Genomic DNA, 22,806 nt, shown 5'->3' with positions numbered 1-22,806 from the left:
GCGAGATTCCGTGGGCGTAGGACCCTCTGAGCCAGGTGTGGGATATAGTCTCGTGGTGCGCCGTTTCTTAAGCCGGTCTGAAAAGCGCAATATTCGGGTGGGAGTGACCCGATTTTCCAGGTGCGTCCGTCACCCCTTTCTTTGACTCGGAAAGGGAACTCCCTGACCCCTTGCGCTTCCCAGGTGAGGCAATGCCTCGCCCTGCTTCGGCTCGCGCACGGTGCGCACACACACTGGCCTGCGCCCACTGTCTGGCACTCCCTAGTGAGATGCACCCGGTACCTCAGATGGAAATGCAGAAATCACCTGTTTTCTGCGTCGCTCACGCTGGGAGCTGTAGACTGGAGCTGTTCCTATTCGGCCATCTTGGCTCTGCATGTTGATTTTGTATCCTGAGACTTTGCTTGTCAGCTTAAGAAGCTTTTGGGCTGAGATGATGGGGTTTTCTAGATATAGCATCATGTCATCTACAAATATAGTTTGACTTCCTCTCTTTCTGTTTGAATGCACTTGATTTCTTTCTCTTGCATGATTGCCCTGGCTAGAATTTCCAATACTATGTTTAATAGGAGTGGTGAGAGAAGCTATCCTTGTCTTGTGCCAGTTTTCAAGGCTAATGCTCACAGCTTTTGCTCATTTAGTATGATACTGTCTGTGGGTTTGTCATATATGGTGCTTATTATTTTGTGATACGTTCCTTCAGTTACATTGTATACAAAAATCAACTCAAGGTGGATTAAATACTTCAATGTAAACCCAAAACCCAAAACTATAAAAACCCTTGGAGAAAATCTAGGCAATACCATTCAGGGCATAGTCATGGGCAAAGATTTCATGAGGAAGATGCCAAAAGCAATGGCAACAAACACAAAAACTGACAAATGGGATCTAATTAGACTAAAAAGCTTCTGTACAACAAAATAAACTATCATCAGAGTGGACAGACAACCTATAGAATAGGGAAGACTTTTTGCAATCTGGCCATCTGACAAAGATCTAACAACACCTAATATCCAGCATGTACAAGGAATGTAAACAAATTTACAAGAGAAAAGCAAACAGTCCCATTAAAAAGTGGGCAAAGGACATGAACAGATGCTTCTCAAAAGAAGACATACATGTGGCCAACAAACATATGAAAAAAAGTTTAACATCACTGATCATTAGAGAAATGCAAATGAAAACCACAATGAGATATCATCTCGCACCAGTCAGAATGGCTATTATTAAAAAGTCAAAAAACAACAGATGCTGGCATGGTTGTGGAGAAAAAAGAATGCTTTTACACTGTTGGGAGTGTAAATTAGTTCAACCGTTGTGGAAGACAGTGTGGCAATTCCTCAAAGACCTGAAGACAGAAATAGCATTTGACCCAGCAATCCCATTACTGGGTATATACCCAAAATAATATAAATCCTTCTATTAGACAAATACAGGCACACTTATGTTCATTGCAGCACTATTCACAATAGCAAAGACACGGAATCAACACAAATGCCCATCAATGATAGAAAATGTGATACATATACAGCATGTAATACTATGCAGCTATAGAAAGGATCATGTCCTTTGCAGGGACATGAATGGAGCTGGAGGCCATTATCCTCAGCAAATTAATATAGGAATGGAAAACCAAATACTCTATGTTCTCACTTATAAGTGGGAGCTGAATGATGAGAACATATGGACACATGGTGGGGAACAACACACACTGGGGCCTGTTAGAGGGTGAAGCTGGGGAGGAGGGAGAGCATCAGAAAGAATAGCTCATGGATGCTGGGCTTAATACCTGGGTGATGGGATGATCTGTGCAGCAAACCACCATGGCACACGTTTGCCTATGTAACAAACCTGCACATCCTGCACAGGTACCCTGAACTTAATAAAATTATATAAATGCTAAATGCAGTAAAGAAAAAGAAATAGATTGATAAATATTTTTGCCTTTTTTCTTTACAATCCAGAGACTTGATTTAAAAATTAACACATATTCAATCAAAAGGATGACAAAGGTGATATATTTATTTTTTCAGGGACTTTATAATTGATGGCTTATCAGTGGAGAGAAATCATGTTCTTGTTAGAATAAATCTTGTTGGTGGGCCATTGGAACGGATTTTGCCTCCGAGGTTACTCGAAAAGGTGAGTGTGGGGCAAAGAGAAGTGGGATGTGTTTTTCTGACATATTTTGAAGCAAGATAGCCAACTCAAAGTCACCCTAAACTTTACCTCTTAAATGTCTACATCACAGAGTTGAACTTATTACTTGAGAATATTTAGGATGCAAATAAATACTTTCAAACTAAAATAATATTTTTGATGTCTAAGGGTCATGAATGCTAAAGTAGGGTATGTATTGTTTGCATGTGTAGTAGAGTAGGTATTGTTTTATTAAAAAGTTATTTTTCTTATGCGCCTTTGAATATTTTACTTTCAATGTCTTTCTCATTCATGATACTTAACTTTTATTATTAAATGACATTATTTTTTATTTTATTGGAAACATTGAGTACCTCTCCTTCCATCAGTATTCAAGTATGGGTTTCTCATGAAGGTTTTTCATTTGTTTTCATTGTTGTTAAGAACCTTCTTGCTTTGACTGTCACTCTCGGAAAGATAAGATAGAAATGACTGACAGCACGAGAAAAAGTTTTGTGGAAAAAACCACAGGTTTCTTTTGAAGATTACAATTTTCCTTTTATGAAAAAAAACACAGTAAATTTATCATTATCAATTCTGCTTACTACAAGTTACCATATGTTTGTCCTCAGTACTAATTTAATATTGTTTCTGTTACAGCTTGTTTTAAGTATTACCCATTGGAATATTGAAGTATAGTATCAAATAGCTTTTGGTTAACTGGGCAACAACTGCAGAATTTATGAGCAAGAAAAGCCAGTTTAAGTTAACAATATTTCAGATAGCTTTAAAATTCAATATTATTTTAGACCACTTCCTAAAGTCATCTGTCTTGCTTCTTTTTTAGAGTGATAATCCATATCCTTGGCCAATGTTTTCATCATATCCATTGCCAAACTGCTATCTGTCAGACATTACAAGAAATGCTGGTATAAAACAAGGTAAAATATTTACCATCAAATGCCATATTATTTTTAAAGCTTTTGTTATAATTTGAAAAAAAGAAAATATTAAGGAAGATGAATATTGACTGCATTTAGCATGTATACATGTGTGCATTTATGCCTATTTCTTTGTATTTTTTTCCTCATGTTTCTTACTAACTTGGTACAGTCATGCACTGCATAATGACATTTTGGTTAATGATGGACCAAGTATACAAAGGTGGTCTTATAAGATTATTATACCACATTTTTACTGTACCTTTTAAAATCTTTAAATATGTTTAGATGCACAATACCATTGTGCTATAATTGCCTACAGTATTCAGTACAGTAACATGCTGTATAGACTTGTAGCCTAGGAGCAATAGGCTACACCGTGTAGCCTAGGTGTAGAGTTAGACTATACCCTCTAGGTTTGTGTAAGATCACTCTACAGTGTTCACAAAGTGACAAAATTGCTTGAGGATGCAATTCTCAGAATGTATTCTCATTATATTAAGCAATGCATGACTATTTGTATGAGGCTAATTATTCTTATTTCTTGTTGCTAAGCTGTAGCTGATCTGTCCAGTAGCAACAGCTGTTTGATTAAAAAAAAAGTAATGGTCTTTGATTTGTGCAATTAATTCTAGGTATGTATCAACAGAGTAGTAATTTTTAGTAACTGCTATGTGCTATACACAGGTCTTGTATACTCAACAACTGAAATTAGTGAAGATTATGGTTCCCACCTTTGTGGAGTCATGAACTCTTACAGAATGCATTCAAATAATTAGATAATTGTATAGCAGTACAATGTGATGGGAACTAAATAGAAAAATGTATAGCCTGCTAGGATAGTCCATAAGCAGGATACTCTTCCAAAGAAGAATATGTATATAATGAGGCATGTAGTTTAAATATTTATTTTCTGAGTAAGAGAAGAGCATTTTTTCTTTTTGGCAGAGGAAAAAGCAGAGGGGCTGGAAGAAGCAAGTTATAGTCAGAGAACTGTGGTAGTTGAACAATGTCTGAGATTTGGAATGTGACAGCAAGAGTGACAGGAAGTAAGACTGAACATGTAAGCCCAGCCATAAGACCAGTGGAGATCAAACTCAGGTGTTTAGACATTATCTTATGAGCCACTAAAATTCAAACAGAATTTTTAGGCTAGAGAATTCTAAGATGAAAGATGAAGCTACATGGCCTATCTGCAGGCCACCACTCTTAAACTCTACCTACTGGATAGAAGCCCAAATTACAACACCAAAAACATTTTGCCAGTATACAGTGCCTGTGACACTTAAGGCAAAAATTCAGCCACAAATAAAGTTTCTGTATAGGGTTGTAGCTCTCTGAAAGCACCCAGAAACAAAGCCAACTGAGTATACTCAACTTACCTCACAGTTAAAGGAACACCAGCACTCCACATGGCAATTCAAAAAGCTGGAGTGTCCTCTTACCTCCAACCAAATGCACTAGTTTCCCAGCAGTGGTTCTTAACCATATTGAAAGGAATGAAATGACAGACCTAGGATTCAGAATCTGGCTGGTAAGGAAGATCATTGAGATCCAGGAGAAAGTTGAAACCCAGTCCTAGAAATCCAAGGAATCCAGTGCAATGATCCAGGAGCTAAAAGAAAAAATAACCATTTCAAGAAAGAACTAAACTGAACCTCTGGAATTGAATAATTCACCTTAAGAATTTCATAATTAGTCCTAAAGCATAGTCAGAAGTATTAATAGCAGAATAGACCAAGCTAAGGAAAGAATCTCAAAGCTTGAAGACTGGTTCTTGAATCAACTAAGTCAGACACAAAGAAAAAATAATTTTTAAAAGTGACAAAACTTCCAAGAAATATGAGATTATGTAAAGAGACCAAATCTATGACTCATTTGCATTCTTGAGAGGGAAGGAGAGAGTGTAAGTAACTTGGAAAACATTTGAAGTCCATCAAAATTTTCCCAAGTTTGCTAGAGATGTAGACACAAGAATTTAAGAAATACAGAGATCACTTGCAAGATACTATACAGGATGACGATCCCCAAGGCACATCATCATCAGATTTACCAAAATCATTGCAAAAGAAAAAACTTAAAGGCAGCTAGAGAGAAAGGTTGGGTCACCTACAAAGGGAACCTCATCATGCTAGCAACAGACTTTTCAGCAGAAACCTTAAAGCCAGAAGAGATTGGAGGCCTATTTTCAGCATTTTTAAGGTAAAGAAATTTCAACCAAGAATTTAATATCCCACCAAACTCAGCTTCAGGGTAAAGGAAATATAAAATCCTTCTCAGATAAGCAACTACTAAGGGAATTCATTACTACCAGACCAGCCTTACAAGAGGTCATTAAGAGAGTGCTAAACATGGAAATGGAAGATCAAAACCTGCTACCGCAAAGACACACTAAAGCACATAACTCACAGACAGTATAAAGGAATTACACCATCAAGTCTATAAAACAACCAACTGCCAACCGAATGACAGGATCAGAATCTCACATATCAGTACTAATACCCTGAATGTAACTGGCCTAAACACCCCACTTAAAAAGCATAGAGTGGCAAGCTGGATAAAAAGATAAGACCCAACTGTCTGCTGTCTTCAAGAGACACATCTCACATGTAATGGCACTCACAGGCTCAAAGGGATGCAGAAAAACAACCACACAAATGGAAAACATAAAAGAGCAGGTGTTGCAGTTCTTGTATCAGATAAAATAGACTTTTAACCAACAACAACCAGGAAGAATAAAGAAGGCCATAACATAATGATAAAGTGTTCAAGTAAACAAGAAGACTTAGCTATCCTACATATGTATGCACTCAACATTAGAGCACTCAGATTCACAAAACAAGTTTTTCTTGACACTGGAAAAGACTTATATAGCCCCTAAATTATAGTGATGGACTTCAACACCCCATTGACAACATTAGGCAGATCACTGAGGCAGAAAATTCCACAAAGATATTGTGGAATTAAACTTGACACTTGGTGAAGTAGACCTAATAAGTATCCAAAGAATACTCCACCTAACAATGATAGAATATACATTCTTGTCTTCTACACATGCAACATATTCTGTGATTGACCATATGCTTGGCCATAAAACAAATCTCAGTGAATTTTTAAAAATGATGCCAAGCACACTCTCAGACCACAGTGCCATAAAAATGGAAATTAATACTAAGAAGATTTCTCAAAACTACACAAAAACATGGAAATTAAACAACTAGCTCTTTATAACCCTTGAGTGAACAATGAAATTAAGTCAGAAATAAAAACTTTCTTTGAAACTAATCAAAGTAGAGATGCAACTTACTAACATCTTTGGGATGCAGCTAAATTTGTGCTAAGAGATAAGTTTATAGTCCTATGGCTTTCATCAAGAGGTTAGAAAGACCTTAAATTAATGATCTAACATCATACCTAGAGGAAATGGAAAAAAAACCCACCTGACTCCAGAGTTAGCAAAAGAAAATAAATAATTAAAATCAAAGAAAACTGAATGAAATTGTGACACAAACATCCATAAAAAAGATAAGTGAGACCAATAATTGATTTTTTAAAAGGAAAAACAAGATAGATAGACTGCTAGCTGGATTAACAAAGAAAAAAAAAAGAAGATCCAAATAAGCACAGTCAAAAATGACAAAAATGACATTACAACTGATCCCACAGAAATACAAAAGATCAAAATACAAAGAGACTATTATGAACACTTCAATGCACACAAATTAGAAAGTCTATAGGATATTGATAAGTTCCTGAAAACATGATATCCTAAGATTGAACCAGGAAGAAAGTAAAATTCTGAACATACCAATAACAAATTTCAAAACTGAATCAGTAATACAAAGCCTAACAACCAAAAAAAAAAAGCCTGGGACCAGATGGATTCATACAGAATTCTACTAGATGTATAAAGAACTGATAGCAATCCTTATGAAACTATTCCAAAAAGTTGAAGAGGAGGAGCTTCTTTATAACTTATTTTACAAAGCCAATATTATCCTGATACCAAACTCTGACAGAGACAACAAAAAAAGAAACTTTAGGCCAAATATTCTTGATGAACATAGGCAAAAAAAATTTCAGCAAAATACTAGTAAATGAAATCCAGCAGCATATTTTTATCCAGCAGCAAAAGTTAATTCACCACAAGTTAGAGTTTATTCCTGAGATGCAAGTTTGGTTCATCATATGCAAATCAATGAATGTGATTCACCACATAAACAGAATAAAAAACAAAAACTACATTACCGTTTCAATAGACACAGAAAAAGCCCTCAGTAAAATCCAACATCTCTTCATGATAAAAACCCTCAATAGGCTAGGCATAAAGGAACATATCTCAAAATAATAAGAGCCATCTATGACAAATCCACAGCTAACATCACAGCATTATACTGAATGGGTAAAAAGTGGAATCATTCCCTTTGAGAACTGAAAAAAGACAACTATGCCTACTCTCACTACACTTGTTCAACATAGTACTGAAAGTGCTTGCTAGAACAATTAGGCAAGAGAAAGAAAGAAAAAGCATCCAAATAGGAAAAGAAGAAGTTAAACTATCTCCCCTTGCTGATGATACAATTCTATACATAGAAAACCCTAGGATTCTAATAAAAGGACCCTAGGAATGATAAATGATTTCAGTAAAATTTCAAGATAAAAAATCAATGAACAAAAGTCAGCTTTTCTATACAACAGTATAGATTGAAAGCCAAATCAAGAACATAATCCCATTTGCTATAGCCACACACACACCCACACACAGTAAAGCCTAGGAATGCATCTAACTAATGATGGGAAGTAGTTCTACAAGGAGAACTACAAACATTGCTGAAAGAAATCAGAGATGACATGAATAAATGGAAGAATATTTCTGCTCATGGATTGTAGGAATCAATATTGTTAAAATGGCCATACTTCCCAAAGCAATTTATAGATTCAGTGCTATCCCTATTAAAATACCAATATCATTTTTCACAGAATTAGAAATATGTATTCTGAAATTCATATGGAACCAAAAAAGAGCTGGAATACCAAAGCAATACTAAGTAAAAACAACAAAGTTGGAGGCATCACATTACCTGACTTCAAACTATACTATAAGGTGAAAGTAACCAACATGGCATGGTACTGGTGCAGAAACAGACACATAGACCAATAAAACAGAATAGAGAACCCAGAAACAAGCCTACACACTTACTATTAGACCTTTTTCAGATGAATAGTTTGTGAACATTTTCTCCTATTCTGCAGGTTGTCTGTTTACTCTGTTGGTAATTACTTTTGCTGTGCAGAAACTCTTTAATTAGGTTGCACTTATCAATTTTTGTTTTTGTTACAATGGCTTTTGGGAACTTAGCCATAAGTTTTTTGCCAAAGCCTATGTCGAGAAGGGTGTTTTCCAGATTTTCTTCTAGGAATTTTATAGTTTGAGATCTTAAATGTAAATCATTAATCCATCTTGAGTTAATTTTTGTATATGGTAAGGTAGGGAGCTAATATCAAGAATCTAACAGGGCCTTGAACAAATCAACAAGTAAAAAACAAATAATCTGATTCCCTGACAAGATGGCGTAATAGGAACAGCTCCAGTCCTCAGATCCCAGTGAGACCAATGCAGAAGGCGGGTGATTTCTGCACTTCCAACTGAGGTACCTGGTTCATCTCACTGGGACTGGTTAGACAGTGGGTGAAGCCCACGGAGGGTGAACAGAAGCAGGGTAGCTCTGTTCTCACCTAGGAAGCTCAAGAGTTTGGGGAACTCCCTCCCCTAGCCAAGGGAGGCCATTAGAGACTGTGCCATGAGGGACGGTGCTATCCAGTCCAGGTACTACGCTTTTCCCACCATCTTCGCAACCCAGAGACTAGGAGATTCCCTTGGGTGCCTACACCACAAGGTTTCAAGCACAAAACTGTGCAGCCATTTGGACAGACACCAAGCTAGGTGCAGGAGGTTTTTTTTTTTTTTTTGTACCCTAGTGTCTCCTGGAATGCCATCAAGACAGAACCATTCACTTCCCTGGAAAGGGGGCTGAAGCCAGGGATCCAAGTGGTCTTGCCCAGCAGATCCTACCCCCATGGAGCCCAGCAAGCTAAGATCTACTGGCTTGAAATTCTCACTGACAGTACAGCAGTCTGAAGTCGACCTGGTATACGCAAGCTTGGTGGTGGGAGGGGCATCCACCTTATTAAGGCTTGAGTGGTGGTTTTCCCCTCACAATGTAAAACAAGCCACCTGGATATTAGGACTGGGTGGAGCCCACCTCAGTGCCTCAAAGCCCCTGTAGCCACACTGCCTCTCTAGATTCCTCCTCTCCGGGCAGGGCATCTCTGAAAGAAAGGCAGCAGCCCCAGTCAGGGGCTTATAGATAAAACTCGCATCTCCATGGGACAGAGCCCCAGGGGGAAGGGGCGGTTGTGGGTGCAGCTACAGCAGACTTAAACGTTCCTGCTTGCTGGCTCTGAAGAGAGGAGTGGATCTCCAAGCACAGTGCTTGACCTCTGGTAAGGGACAGACTGCCTCCTCAAGTGGGTCCCTGACCCCATACCTCCAGATGGGGAGAAACCTCACAGCAGGGTTCAACAGACACCTTATACAGGAGAGCTTCAGCTGGCATCTGGTGGGTGCCCCTCTGGGACGAAGATTCCATAAGAAGGAACAGGCAGCAATCTTTGCTGTTCTGCAACCTCCAATGGTGATACCCAGGCAAACATGGCCTGGAGTGGACTCCCAGCAAACTCCAGCAGATGTGCAGAAGAGGGGTCTGTTAGAAGGAAAACTAACAAACAGAAAGCAATGGCATCAACATCAAGAAGGACCACGCAAAAACTCCATCCCAAGGTCACCAATAGCAAAGACCAAAGGTAGATAAATCCACAAAGGTGAGGAAAAACCAGTAAAAAAAAGCCAACAAGTCCAAAAACCAGAACACCTTTTCTCCTGCAAAGGATTACAACTCCTCTCCAGCCAGGGAACAAAACTTTGGACAGAGAATGAGTTTGACAAATTGACAGTAGGCTTTAGAAGGTGGGTAATAACAAACTCCTCCAAGCTAAAGGAGCACTTTCTAATCCAATGCAAGTAAGCTAAGAACCTTGATAAAAGGTTACAGGAATTGCTACTAGACTAACCAGTTAAGAGAAGAACATAAGTGACCTGATGGAACTGAAAAACACAGCACGAGAAAATTGTGAAGCATACACAAGTATCAGTAGCCAAATCAATCAAGCGGAAGAAAGTGTATCAGGGATTGAAGATGAGCTTCATGAAATAAAGCATGAAGACAAGATTAGAGAAAAAAGAATGAAAAGGAATGAACAAAGCCTCCAAAAAATATGAGACTATGAGAAAAGACCAAACCTACATTTGATTGGTGTACCTGAAAGTGATGGGGAGAATGGAACCATGTTGGAAAACACTCTTCAGGATATTACCGAGGAGAACCCTTCCCCAACCTAGCAAGACAGGCCAACATTCAAATTCAGGAAATACAGAGAACACCACAAAGATGCTCCTTGAGAAGAGCAACCCCAAGACACATAATCGACAGAATCACCAAGGTTGAAATAAAGGAAAAAATTTTAAGGCAGTCAGAGAGAAAGGTCAGGTTACCCACAAAGAGGAGCCCATTAGACTAACAGCAGATCTCTCTGCAGAAACCCTACAAGCCAGAAGAGAGTGGAGGCCAATGTTCAACATTCTTAAGAAAATAATTTTCAACCAGAATTTCATACCCAGCTAAACTAAGCTTCATAAGTGAAGAAAGAATAAAATCCTTTACAGACAAACAAATGCTGAGGGATTTTGTCACTCCAGGCCTGCCTTACAAGAGCTCCTGAAGAAAGCACTAAATATTGAAAGGAAAAACCAGTACCAGCCACTGCAAAAACAAACCAAAATGTGAAGACCATCAACACTGTGAAGAAACTACGCCAACTAATGGGCAAAATAACCAGCTAGCATCATAATGACAGAAACAAATTCACACATAACAATATTAACCTTAACTGTAAACAAGCTAAATGCCCCAATTAAAAGACACAGACTGGCAAATTGGATAAAGAGTTAAGACCCATCAATGTGCTGTATTCAGGAGACCCATCTCATATACAAAGACACACATAGGCTCAAAATAAAGGCATGGACGAAGATTTACCAGGCAAATGGAAAGCATAAAAAAGCAGGAGTTGCAATCCTAGTTTCTGATAAAACAGACTTTAAACCAACAAAGATCAAAAAAGACAATGAAGGGCATTACATAATGGTGAAGGAATCAATGCAACAAGAAGAGCTAACTATCCTAAATATATGTGCACCCAATACAAGAGCACCTAGATTCATAAAGCAAGTTCTTAGAGACCTACAAAGAGACTTAGACTCACACACAATAATAGTGGGAGACTTTAGCACCCTACTGTCAATATTAGACAGTTGATCGAGACAGAAAATTAACGAGAATATTCAGGACTTGCACTCAGCTGTAGAACAAGCAGATCTAATAGACATCTACAGAACTCTCCACCCCAAATCAACAGAATATACATTCTTCTCAGCACCACATAGCACTTATTCTAAAATCAACCACATAATTAGAAGTAAAACACTCCTCAGCAAATCCAAAAGAATGGAAATCATAATAAACAGTCTCTCAGACCACAGTGCAATCAAATTAGAACTCAGGATTAAGAAATTCACTCAAAACCGCACAACTACATGGAAACTGAACAACCTGCTCCTGCATGACTACTGGGTAAATAATAAAATTTAGGCAGTAACAAGTAAATTCTTTGAAACCAATGAGAATAGACACAATGTACCAGAATCTCTGGGACACAGCTAAAGCAGTGTTAGAGGGAAATTTATAGCACTAAATGCCCACAAGAGAAAGTGGGAAAGACCTAAAATCGACACCCTGATATCACAATTAAAAGAACTAGAGAAGCAAGAGCAAACAGATTCAAAAGCTAGCAGAAGACAAGAAACAACTAAGATCAGAGCAGACCTGAAGGAGATAGAGACAGAAAAGACCCTTCAGAAAATCAATGAATCCAGGAGTTGGTTTTTTGAAAAGATTAACAAAATAGATAGACCACTAGCCAGACTACTAAAGAAGAAAAAAGAGAAGAATCAAATAGACACAATAAAAAATGATAAAGGGGATATCACCACTGATCCCACAGAAATACAAACTACCGACAGAGAATATTATAAACACTTATATGCAAATAAACTAGAAAATCTAGAAGAAATTGATAAATTCTTGGACACATACACCCTCCCAAGACTAAACCAGGAAGAAGTTGAATCCTTGAATAGACCAATAGCAAGTTCTGAAATTGAGGCAATAATTAATAGTCTACCAACCAAAATAAGCCCAGGACCAGATGGATTCACAGCCAAATTCTGCCAGAGGTACAAAGAGGAGCTGGTACCCATTCCTTCTGAAACTATTCCAATCAATAGAAAAAGAAGGACTCCTCCCCAACTCATTTCATGAGGCCAGCATCATCCTGATACCAAAACCTGGCAGAGACACAACAAAAATAAAATTTCAGGCCAATATCCTTGATGAACATCGACGTAAAAATCCTCAATAAAATACTGGCAAACTGAACCCAGCAGCATATTAAAAGCTTATCCACTACAATCAAGTCGGCTTCATCCCTGGGATGCAAGGCTGGTTCAACATATGCAAATCAATAAATATAATCCATCACATAAACAGAACAGACAAAAACATTGATGATCTCAATAGATGCAGGAAAGTCTGATAAAATGCAACACCCCTTCATGCTAAAAACTTTTAATAAACTAGGAATTGATGGAACGTATCTCAAAATAATAAGAGTTATTTATGAGAAACCCACAGCCAATGTCATACTGAATGGGCAAAATTTGGAAGCATTCCCTTTGAAAACTGGCACAGATAAGGATGCCCTCTCTCACCAATCCTATTCAACATAGTGTTGGAAGTTTTGGCCAGGGCAGTCTAGCAAGAGAGGGTATAAAATACCTAGGAATCCAACTTACAAGGGATGTGAAGGATCTCTTCAAAGAGAACTACAAACCACTGCTTAAGGAAATAAGAGAGGACACAAACGAATGGAAAAACATTCCATGCTCATGCATAGGAATAATCAATATCATGAAAATGGCCATACTGCCCAAAGCAATTTATAGATTCAATGCTATTCCCATCAGGCTACCATTGACTTTCTTCACAGAACTAAAAAAATGTACTTTAAATTTCATGTGGAACCGATAGAGAGCCCGTATAGCAAAGACAATTCTAAGCAATAAGAACAAAGCTGGAGGCATCATGCTACCTGACTTCAAACTATACTACAAGGCTACAGTAACTGAAACAGCATGGTACTGGTACCAAAACAAATATATAGACCAATGGAACAGAACAGAGGCCTCAGAAATAGCACTACACATCTACAATCATCTGATCTTTGACAAACCTGACAAAAACAAGAAATGGGGAAAGGATTCCCTATTTAATAAATGGTATTGAGAAAACTGGACCCCATATGCCAAAAAATGAAACTGGACCCCTTTGTTATAACTTATACAAAGATTAACTCAAGATAGATTAAAGATTTAAATGTAAGACTTAAAACCGTAAAGACCCCAGAAGAAAACCTAGGCAATACCATTCAGGACATAGACATGGGCAAAGACTTCATGACTAAAACACCAAAAGCAATTCCAGCAAAAGCCAAAATTGACAAATGGGATCTAATTAAACTACAGAGTTCCTGCACAGCAAAAGAAACTATCATCAGAGTGAACAGGCAACCTACAGAATGGGAGAAAAAATTTTCAATCTATCCATCTGACAACGGATAATAATACCCAGAATCTACAAAGAACTTAAACAAATTTACAAGAAAAAAACCAACCCCATCAAACAGTGAGCAAAGGATATGAACAGACAGTTTTCAAAAGAAGACATTTATGCAGCCAATAAACATGAAAAAAAATAGCTCATCATCACTGGCCATTAGAGAGATGCAAATCAAAACCACAGTGAGATACCATCTCATGCCTGTTAGAATGGTGATCATTAAAAAGTCAGGTAACAATGGATGCTGGAGAGGATGTGGTGATATAGGACTGCTTTTCACTTTGGGAGGCTGAGGCAGGCAGATCACCTGAGGTCAGGAGTTCAACACCAGCCTGGCCAACATGGTGAAACCACATCTTTACTAAAAATCCAAACATTCGCTGGGCATGGTGGCACATGCCTGTAATCCCAGCTACCCGGGAGGCTGAGGCAGGAGAATTGCTGCAACCTGCTAGGCAGAGGCTGCAGTGAGCTGAGATAGTGCCACTATACTCCAGCCCAGGTGACAGAGCGAGACTCCATCTAAAAAAAAAAGAAATAGGGACGCTTTTACACTGTTGGTCACAGTGTAAACTTCAACCGTTGTGGAAGATGGTGTGGCAATTCCTCAAGGATATAGAACTGGAAATAGCATTTGACCCAGCAATTCCATTAGTGTGTATATACCCAGAGGATTTTAAGTGATTCTGTTATAAAGACACATGCACACGTATGTTTATTGCAGCACTGTTCACAATAGCAAAGACTTGAAACCAACCCAAATGCCCATCAGTGATAGACTTGATAAAGAAAATGTGGCATATGTACACCATGGAATACTATGCAACCATAAAAAAAAATTAGTTCATGTCCTTTTCAGGGACAGGGATGAAGCTGGAAACCATTATTCTCAGCAAACTAACACAGGAACAGGAAACCAAACACTGCATGTTCTCACTCGTAAGTGGGAATTGAACAATGAGAACATATGGGCACAGGGAGGGGAACATCACACACTGGGGCCTGTCGGGGGTTGGGAGGCAAGGGGTGGGATAGCATTAGGAGAAATACCTAATGTAGATGACAGGTTGATGGGTACAGGAAACCACCATGGCACATGTATACCTATGTAACAAACCTGCACGTTCTGCACATGTATCCCAGAACTTAAAGTATAATAAAACCAACCAACAAACAAATATTCCAATTAAAAAATGGGCAAAGGACATGGACTGATACTTCTCAAAAAAAAAAAAAAAGACATACAAGTTACAAAAATAATATGAGACTGGGCGCGGTGGCTCACGCCTGTAATCCCAGCACTTTGAGAGGCCGAGGCAGGCCGATCCTGAGATCAGGAGATCAAGACCATCCTGACTAACATGGTTAAACCCTGTCTCTACTAAAAATACAAAAAAATTAGCCAGGTGTGGTGGCAGGCACCTGTAGTCCCAGCTACTCAGGAGGCTGAGGCAGGAGAATGGCGTGAACCCGGGAGGTGGAGTTTGCAGTGAGCCGAGATTGCACCACTGCACTCCAGCCTGGGTGACAGAGCAAGACTCCGTCTCAAAAAAAATAAAAAAATAAAAAAATATTAAAAATGCTCACCATCACTAATCATCAGATAAATGCAACCAAATCAACAGATACCATCTCTCACCAGTCAGAATGGCAATAATTTAAAAGTCAAAAAATAACAGATGTTGGCAGGGCTTCCGAGAAAAGAGAACACTTACACACTTTTGGTGCAAATGCAAATTAGTTCAGCCACTGTGGAAAGCATTCTGGAGATTTCTCAAAGAACTTAAAACAGAACTGCCCTTCAACCTAGCAATCCCACTACTGACTATATATCCAAAGGAAATAACTCATTCTATCAAAAACACACATGCACTCGTGTTTTCATTGCAGCTATTCACAATAGCAAAGACATGGAATCAACATAGGTGCCCAACAATTGTGGATTGGATAAAGAGAATATGGTGCATATTCACCATGGAATACTACACAGCCATAAAAAGGAATGAAATCATGTCCTTTGCAGCAACATGGATGCAGCTGGATGCCATTATTCTAAGTGCATTAATGCAAGAACAGAAAACCAAATACTGCATATTCTCATAAGTGGGAGCTAAACATTGAAAACACATACACATAAAGATAGAAACAATATACACTAGGGACTACTAGATAGGGTGATGGAGGGAGGAAGGGGGAGCATGGGATGAAAAGCTGCTGTTGGCTGCTGTGCTCATCACCCTGGTGACAGGACCATCTGTATCCCAAACCTCACTGTCGCTCAATATACCCATATAGCAACCCTGTACATATTTCCCCTGAATCTAAAATTTAAAAAATACAAATGAGAAAATTAGGTTAAATGAACACTTTTGAGTAGAAAAATATATTATTAGTTCCTAGGAATCAGTGCTCAGAGAAGTATAATTTTATTTTCTCCTCTTATCTATGATTCAGGAAAAGGAGTAATAATAGTTTCTCTGTGTAACCCAGAATATAACTGCAGATGACTGACTTAGGCGTGAATGTACTGCTGCCAGTATACCCAGTATGGTGTGTCTCCAGGTTACTTTTCTAGTCTCCTAGATGACTGTTTTCAAAATTTCTCTCTTCTCAAACCTTCTTCTCCTTCCCCATGCTTCGTTTAGTTAATAGCCATGTTTCCTATTTTATCAATGATATAGAAATAGCCAGTAAAGAGCTTCCATGTGTTCCTGAGGCATATCAACTCACTTAACTACATCGGTGCCAATTTAGGCTTTCTATTATTATCATGAAGGAACTGCCAGTGTGACTTGTGAAAACCAATTTCTCCATTTGTGCGCTACATTCCATCTGGTTTCTTCTGAAAGATTTTGCTTCTAGCAGTTCTCCCTTTTTCTTTTCTCCCTTATTTCTGGATCTCCAGACTACTGGCCAACACTGTAGATTTTGGACTCATCAGCCTCTATAATCACATGAGCCAGTTACTTATAATAAATCTCCTTCTATATATGTACAAATTCTATTGGTTCTGTTTCTTGGAGAACCCTAATACAGTTGATTTTTAGCATCTATAGCATAGCATGATGGAAGGCATCCATCCTTCACATCAGTCTTCAACTAGCATTGCCTCACTTTTGATCTTGCCTACCCCAGCTTTGTTTACTTTCAAGGCTTTAAACTGTTTTCTCTCTCCAGCTAGAGCCTCCACACCTATCTGTTCTACTTGCCCTATGTCTACTCTTTAACCTCTGCAAATCATATAGTCATTTAATATCACTTTTCATCAACTTTATACAGACCATTAATCCATTAACCCTTTTCTGGTTGTTATTGAATCCTATTCAGGTAGATCTCCTTGACCAGGGACTTCTATATTATCACCAGTCTCCTGAGTGAACCTGATTTTTACCACTGCAATTTTAAAAATTAATTTATTTTTTAATTGATAAGCATTCTATATATTTATCATGTACAACATGTTTTGAAATATGTGTACATTGTGGAATGGCTAAATTCAGCCAATTAACATATGCATAATCTCACATGCTTATTTTTCTGATGATAATATTTAAAATGACTTTCTTGGCAATTTTCAAATATATAATACATTGTTAATAACATAGTCACCATGTTGTACAATAGACATCTTAAAACATATTCCTTTTATTTAACTGAAATTTTGTATCATTGGACCATCTCCCCCAATACCCTGCCCTCCAGCTTCTGGTAACCATTCTATGCCCCATTTCTATGAGTTTAAATTTTTCAGTTTGCACATAAGCGAGATTATATAGAGTGTTTTTCTTTCTGTGCCTGGGTTATTTTACCAAACACAGTGTCCTCAAGGTTCATCCATGTTGTCACAAATGATAGGATTTCTCTCTTTTTAAAGCCTGATCTTCCTCTTTATTATCATGTTTTGGCTTGGAGCATCTTTACTTGATCTTTTTGATATGCCAACAAGCATGGTGTTTATTCTCTTATATTTAAAATATCTTCTCTTGGACTACTTTCCCCTCACTAAAATCTCACTTCTGGCCTGCCTTTTACTTCAGAATTCCTTGAAGGAGTTAGCTGAGTATTCCCATTACTCTCTTTCCATTCTCTCTTGGACCCACTTGTAAGCTAATCAGGCTTTCACCCTAATACTCCACCGGCTTTCAGCCCACTGGTAAGATCTCAGTCCTCATTACCTAGCAGTATCACTCAAACCTGCCCTCTTTTTTGAAACAATTTCTTCATTTGACTTCCAGAAAATACTCTTGTTTGGTTTTCCTCCTGCATCTCTGATGAATTCTTTTGTCTCATTTGTTGGATCTTTCACATCTCTCTAACGTTTAAACTTTGGAATGCCCCATAGTCAGTTCTCAGTTGTCTTCTTTTTTTCTAGCTGCATTACTGTTGTGAGGATCTCATGACTGAAATACTATCCAATATGCTGATGGCTCTCAGATTTATATCTCTAATACTTATCTTTGCCTTGAACTCATATCTCATGTATTAAACTGTCTACTTGACATTTCTCCTAGTAAGTTGAATATATATATCAAACTTAACATGTCTCAGATAAATTTTTAATACTCCCCCAAAATTTGTTCCTTTGGCATTTTTTCCCCTTTCAGAAATGGCAACTGTTTGCTCCCAGTTCTCCAGATAATAAACCTAACGGCATTCATGCACTCGTCTCTGTCTTTATACCCCACATCTAATCTGTCAGCAAATCTTTACATATCTAAAATAAAACCACTCTCACTCATCTACTACCACTCACATTTCTTACCTGCTGCAATGTCCTGCCAAGTGTTTAGTCTATTCTCAACACAGCAGCCAGAGGAATGCTGCTGAAACATGGGTTAGATCATATTACTCTTCTAATCGAAATCCTTCAGTGACTTCCCTGTAGCTTACAAGGCCTAACACATTTGTGACATCTTTACTGGCATATGCTCTGTTTTAGGGAGTGTAGTACTATCTTAAGCCTTATTTGATTGCTTATTTTCCCACCATACTGGATAGGAACTCTTACTTTCTTTCTGTTTCTAAAGCACAAGTGTTTGAATAAGACATTATTCCCAATTTGAAACTAGTACCTGATACTTCCTCATAATAAGAGTGATCCTGATATTATTGTGGTTTTGTTAAGGAAGACAGCATGATCTAGGCAGCAATAGATAGCCTAGGAAGATATTTTTACAGGGATTTAGTCAATTCATAATATCTCATTCTGATATTGCTGATATCTGTGTCACTGACCATATACTCTTAGCAGAAAATGGGAAAGTCAGAAGCATGTCCAGCTTCATTTTGTACCTAAGAGAGTAGAGTGATGCTTTTTCTGTGAACTCAATGAAAAAAAAAATAGAGCTAAATGTGTTTCTAACAGGTATGTGTCTGGTTAAATACCGTTAAATAAAGCTAAACATTAATAGTGCACTTTAAAAAATACTATGCTTAAGGTAGCAATATTTAAGACACCAAAGTTATTTTAACAGCAAGAGTCATCTACTTTCCATTCTTGTTTTGTGATTCACATGTAATGATTCACAGATTTTGTAAGGTGTTAGTTTAGTCATCATTTGCACTGCACAATTTTGGGATATAATTTCATTGTTGTGGGAAAAAAATCACTTCGGTTGTGTGCACATGGTGGCATCCTCTTCATTTGTCTCCCAGCTTCTAGATTTATTCTGTTTGCTACAGTTAGCATCTCATCTGTTAGATTGCCTCTTGTTAGCTCATTGGCATCAGTGTTAACCATTAGATGATTCTTCTTCATCTATAAATAAGAATTTTGAGACATCATCTGGTTCAATTGTTTTTCTTTATGAACATTTTTAGGGTCATCATATTAAAATGTAAGTGGCCATTTAAAAGCTATTGATCTATACATTCTCTGTGTATGTATGTATACATATGTGTATATATGTACACTTGAATACATGTATATGAGTATATGTATGGATCATCACACACAAAAAATTCACTTAGAATATCTACTTAGAATATCATTTCTACTTAGAATATCATTTCTCTGTTACCTGAGGGTATAGATAGGTAGTATAATACGTACTAATGTTGTAACTTATATTATGGTACTAATGTTATAGCTAGTACTATAATATAAGCACTAGTTATATGTACTAGTGTTATAACTTACTGCCTCTGCAAAAGACAAAGAAGACGCAAGCAGATTGGGTGGAAAAGAATAGTCATACTATGGTCAAAAGCAAGTACCAGTTAGCATGTTAGGAGCTGTTAAGGTGAACTACTGGAGATTGCCTCATAATTCCCTTCTGTATGGAACAGGAAGGTAGTAAAATAGTAATTTAATTTCTTTTGTTTTTGTTTTTCTGAGCTAAAATTAGATTTCCCGGGAGTTATTACCCCATTGGCTAGTCCACTCTACTATGTTGCATTTCAGCATGCTCAGAATGAGGACTTCTTTCTCAGAGGAGTATGGGAAATTCAGAACTTCCATATAGAAAATTAAAAATAGCTTGAGGAATTAGATAGCATACTCCAGTCATTGAAAGCATCACAGAGACACATCTCAAGAAGATGAGATGTTTGTTGTTCTTATTTCCCCATCTAGCTTCCTATATCCATTTTATTACTTAAAAATACTTTTATAATGTTTATTCAGGATGACCTATAAAATAATCAGCATTCTAAATTACATCTATATCCTATTTATCTTACTATCATGGAATTTCTATCTTTATCAAGAAACCTTTTGGATGTATATTTACTCAGTTGAGGCTGCTATCTTTAAAGAGGAGAGTAATTTTTCTGGTCATTTTTTATATGTTTCTAGTGCTACTAATGAGACCAATAGAACATCCGAAGTGGCGCTGACTCACAAGGTTACTGGCAGTCATGCCACTTGGCATTAGATTGCCTTTCTCTGATCTTATGCATAAACATTCATGCCAAGTCTGCCCTGCAGACACTGGCTGAGTGACAGATGAAAGGAGTACTTAGACAAAGGTATCCAGTGAAAGAGCGGGCTAGGGGACTGCCGGCACTAGGGGTCAAAAAGAGTTTGCAGCCCCCCTAAGCTGGCGATGCTCGCATTTATTTAGTACAGATTTAATGACAAAGGCTTGGAGCAAACACAATTTGTCGGTAATAAACATTGTTGACCCCTCGAGTAGAGAGCAGTCTTGCACATGAATGATCAAAAGTCGGTTTTAGGACAACATAAGTAAACAAGCTATCTAGATAAACTCCTCTACATTCCCTTGTTATTTGCTTTTTGCTATTAGCTAAAGGTAAGAGGATTAGGCTGCCTTTAGCCATAACCTTTTCCTAAAGCTTTTGCAAAACCTTCCGGCTTTTTAAAAAGGTTTGTGTCTTTCCTGTAACTTTTTTTTTTTACAACTTTTCCCACCACCCTGACCGAACTCCTACACATTCATGCATAAGTTTCTGTGTGAACATGCATTTCATTTCTCTTCAGTATACCTAGGATTGGAGTCGCTGGATTATATGATAATCTATGTTTAATCATTTGAGCAGCTGACATAAATTATTTTCTATATCTCTTCATCTGACCTTTTGATCTAACTATTCCAGTGGCTATGAAGTGGTATCTCATTGTGATTTTGATTTGTATTTTGCTGAAGACTTTTCATGTGCTTTTTGGCCATTTGGTATCTTCCTTTGAGAGTGACTGTTCCATCACTTTGCCCATTTTTAATTGAGTTATTTGTTTTTTAATAATTGAGTTGTAAGAGCACTTTATGTATTCTAGACATAAGTTTCTTTTGAGATAAGTGCTTTGCAAACTTCACTCCTTAAAAGACATTAGGCTTATGCCTCTGATCCTTTGCTCTTGATACTCCCTTTTCCTGGAATACTAATTCCTACTCTTCCCATGGGTGTCCTGTTTAAACCTTTTGAGCTTAGTCTAAATGTCACTTCTTCAGAGAAGTTATCTCCACCTTATCTAAAATATATTTCTTCTCTTCCTTATTTCTCTCTCTGGACCTTTGTTTATTTCTCTAAGAGTATTTGTACCTTACAGTGAGTTTATGTATTTATGTATAGTCTACTACCCTAAAATGTAATTTCTATGAAGCAAAGATGCTGTTTGCCTTAAGTAGTAGGCAGTACATAAATATTTATTGAATGAAAAAGTAAATAATCAATGCTGGATTTCTTTCTCCTGTATTTTTTCCATTATCAAGCTCTCTCTTCGACTCTGTCACTGGACATTAAAACTTTTGTTCAGGCTAATCTAAAGTAAATTTAGGAATTTTTACTCATATTTGGAATAACCTCTGATTTGACTCATGTTCTAGAGTATGCAAAAGTTTGCAGTTAGAAAGCTTCTTGAGTTAGACTTCCATATATATTATTCATGAAGTAGACACCTTTATTATAGTTATTTCATCATTTAGCAAGTGGTACTTTACATTTTTATGGCACATAAAAGGTGTGCATTGTTAGCATTACATCCTATTTTTTCACAATTGAAAAAAATAACTAAAAAATGTACAGCCTTTTAGTCTGCGATTACTTCAAATTTAGTCTTTTATAGCTTCAGTATCTTACTTGACTACCTTCTCCATCACATTTCTGCTTATCTGATAGGAAATTGATTTTCTGCCTGGTAAAATATTCTTTTTCAAATACTATATAAAAGAGTAAGTTATATGGTTATAATCATTCCTTTTAATGTAATATACCAAATAATATTAAAATCTTTACAGTCAGATCATTCCAATACTTTTAGCCAGATAGTTTCAGATGATATTATTCCTCTATGAGAAAACAGATCATTTTAAAGTTAATAATATGTAAAATATAAATATCCCTCTATAGTATCTTTTTTTTTTTTTGCCCCAACCTGATGTAATTTTTTTTACTACAAATTAAATGAGATCAGG

The 22,806-nt window shown here is 37.3% G+C and overlaps 1 protein-coding gene across 21 annotated transcripts in view; it reads left to right on the top strand.

Annotated features, from left to right (window-relative positions):
- The window catches only part of TBC1D32 (TBC1 domain family member 32), a 255,236-nt gene that overhangs the window by 171,640 nt on the left and 60,790 nt on the right, over nucleotides 1–22,806 (top strand). For all 21 annotated transcript variants that reach the window (NR_104452.2, XM_047418311.1, NM_001367759.1 and 18 more), the window contains 2 exons: nucleotides 2,034–2,142; nucleotides 2,987–3,080. Coding sequence is in view for 20 of the 21 variants with exons in the window: in XM_047418311.1 (XP_047274267.1) it covers nucleotides 2,034–2,142; nucleotides 2,987–3,080 (203 nt within the window). In the remaining variant the exon portion in view is untranslated. The remainder of the gene's footprint in view (nucleotides 1–2,033; nucleotides 2,143–2,986; nucleotides 3,081–22,806) is intronic.

This window comes from Homo sapiens, chromosome 6, assembly GCF_000001405.40.
Source record: "Homo sapiens chromosome 6, GRCh38.p14 Primary Assembly".
Lineage (NCBI taxonomy): Eukaryota > Metazoa > Chordata > Mammalia > Primates > Hominidae > Homo > Homo sapiens.
The sequence above is the reverse complement of the archived record's forward strand: the minus strand, read 5'-3'. Positions and strand labels throughout refer to the sequence as shown.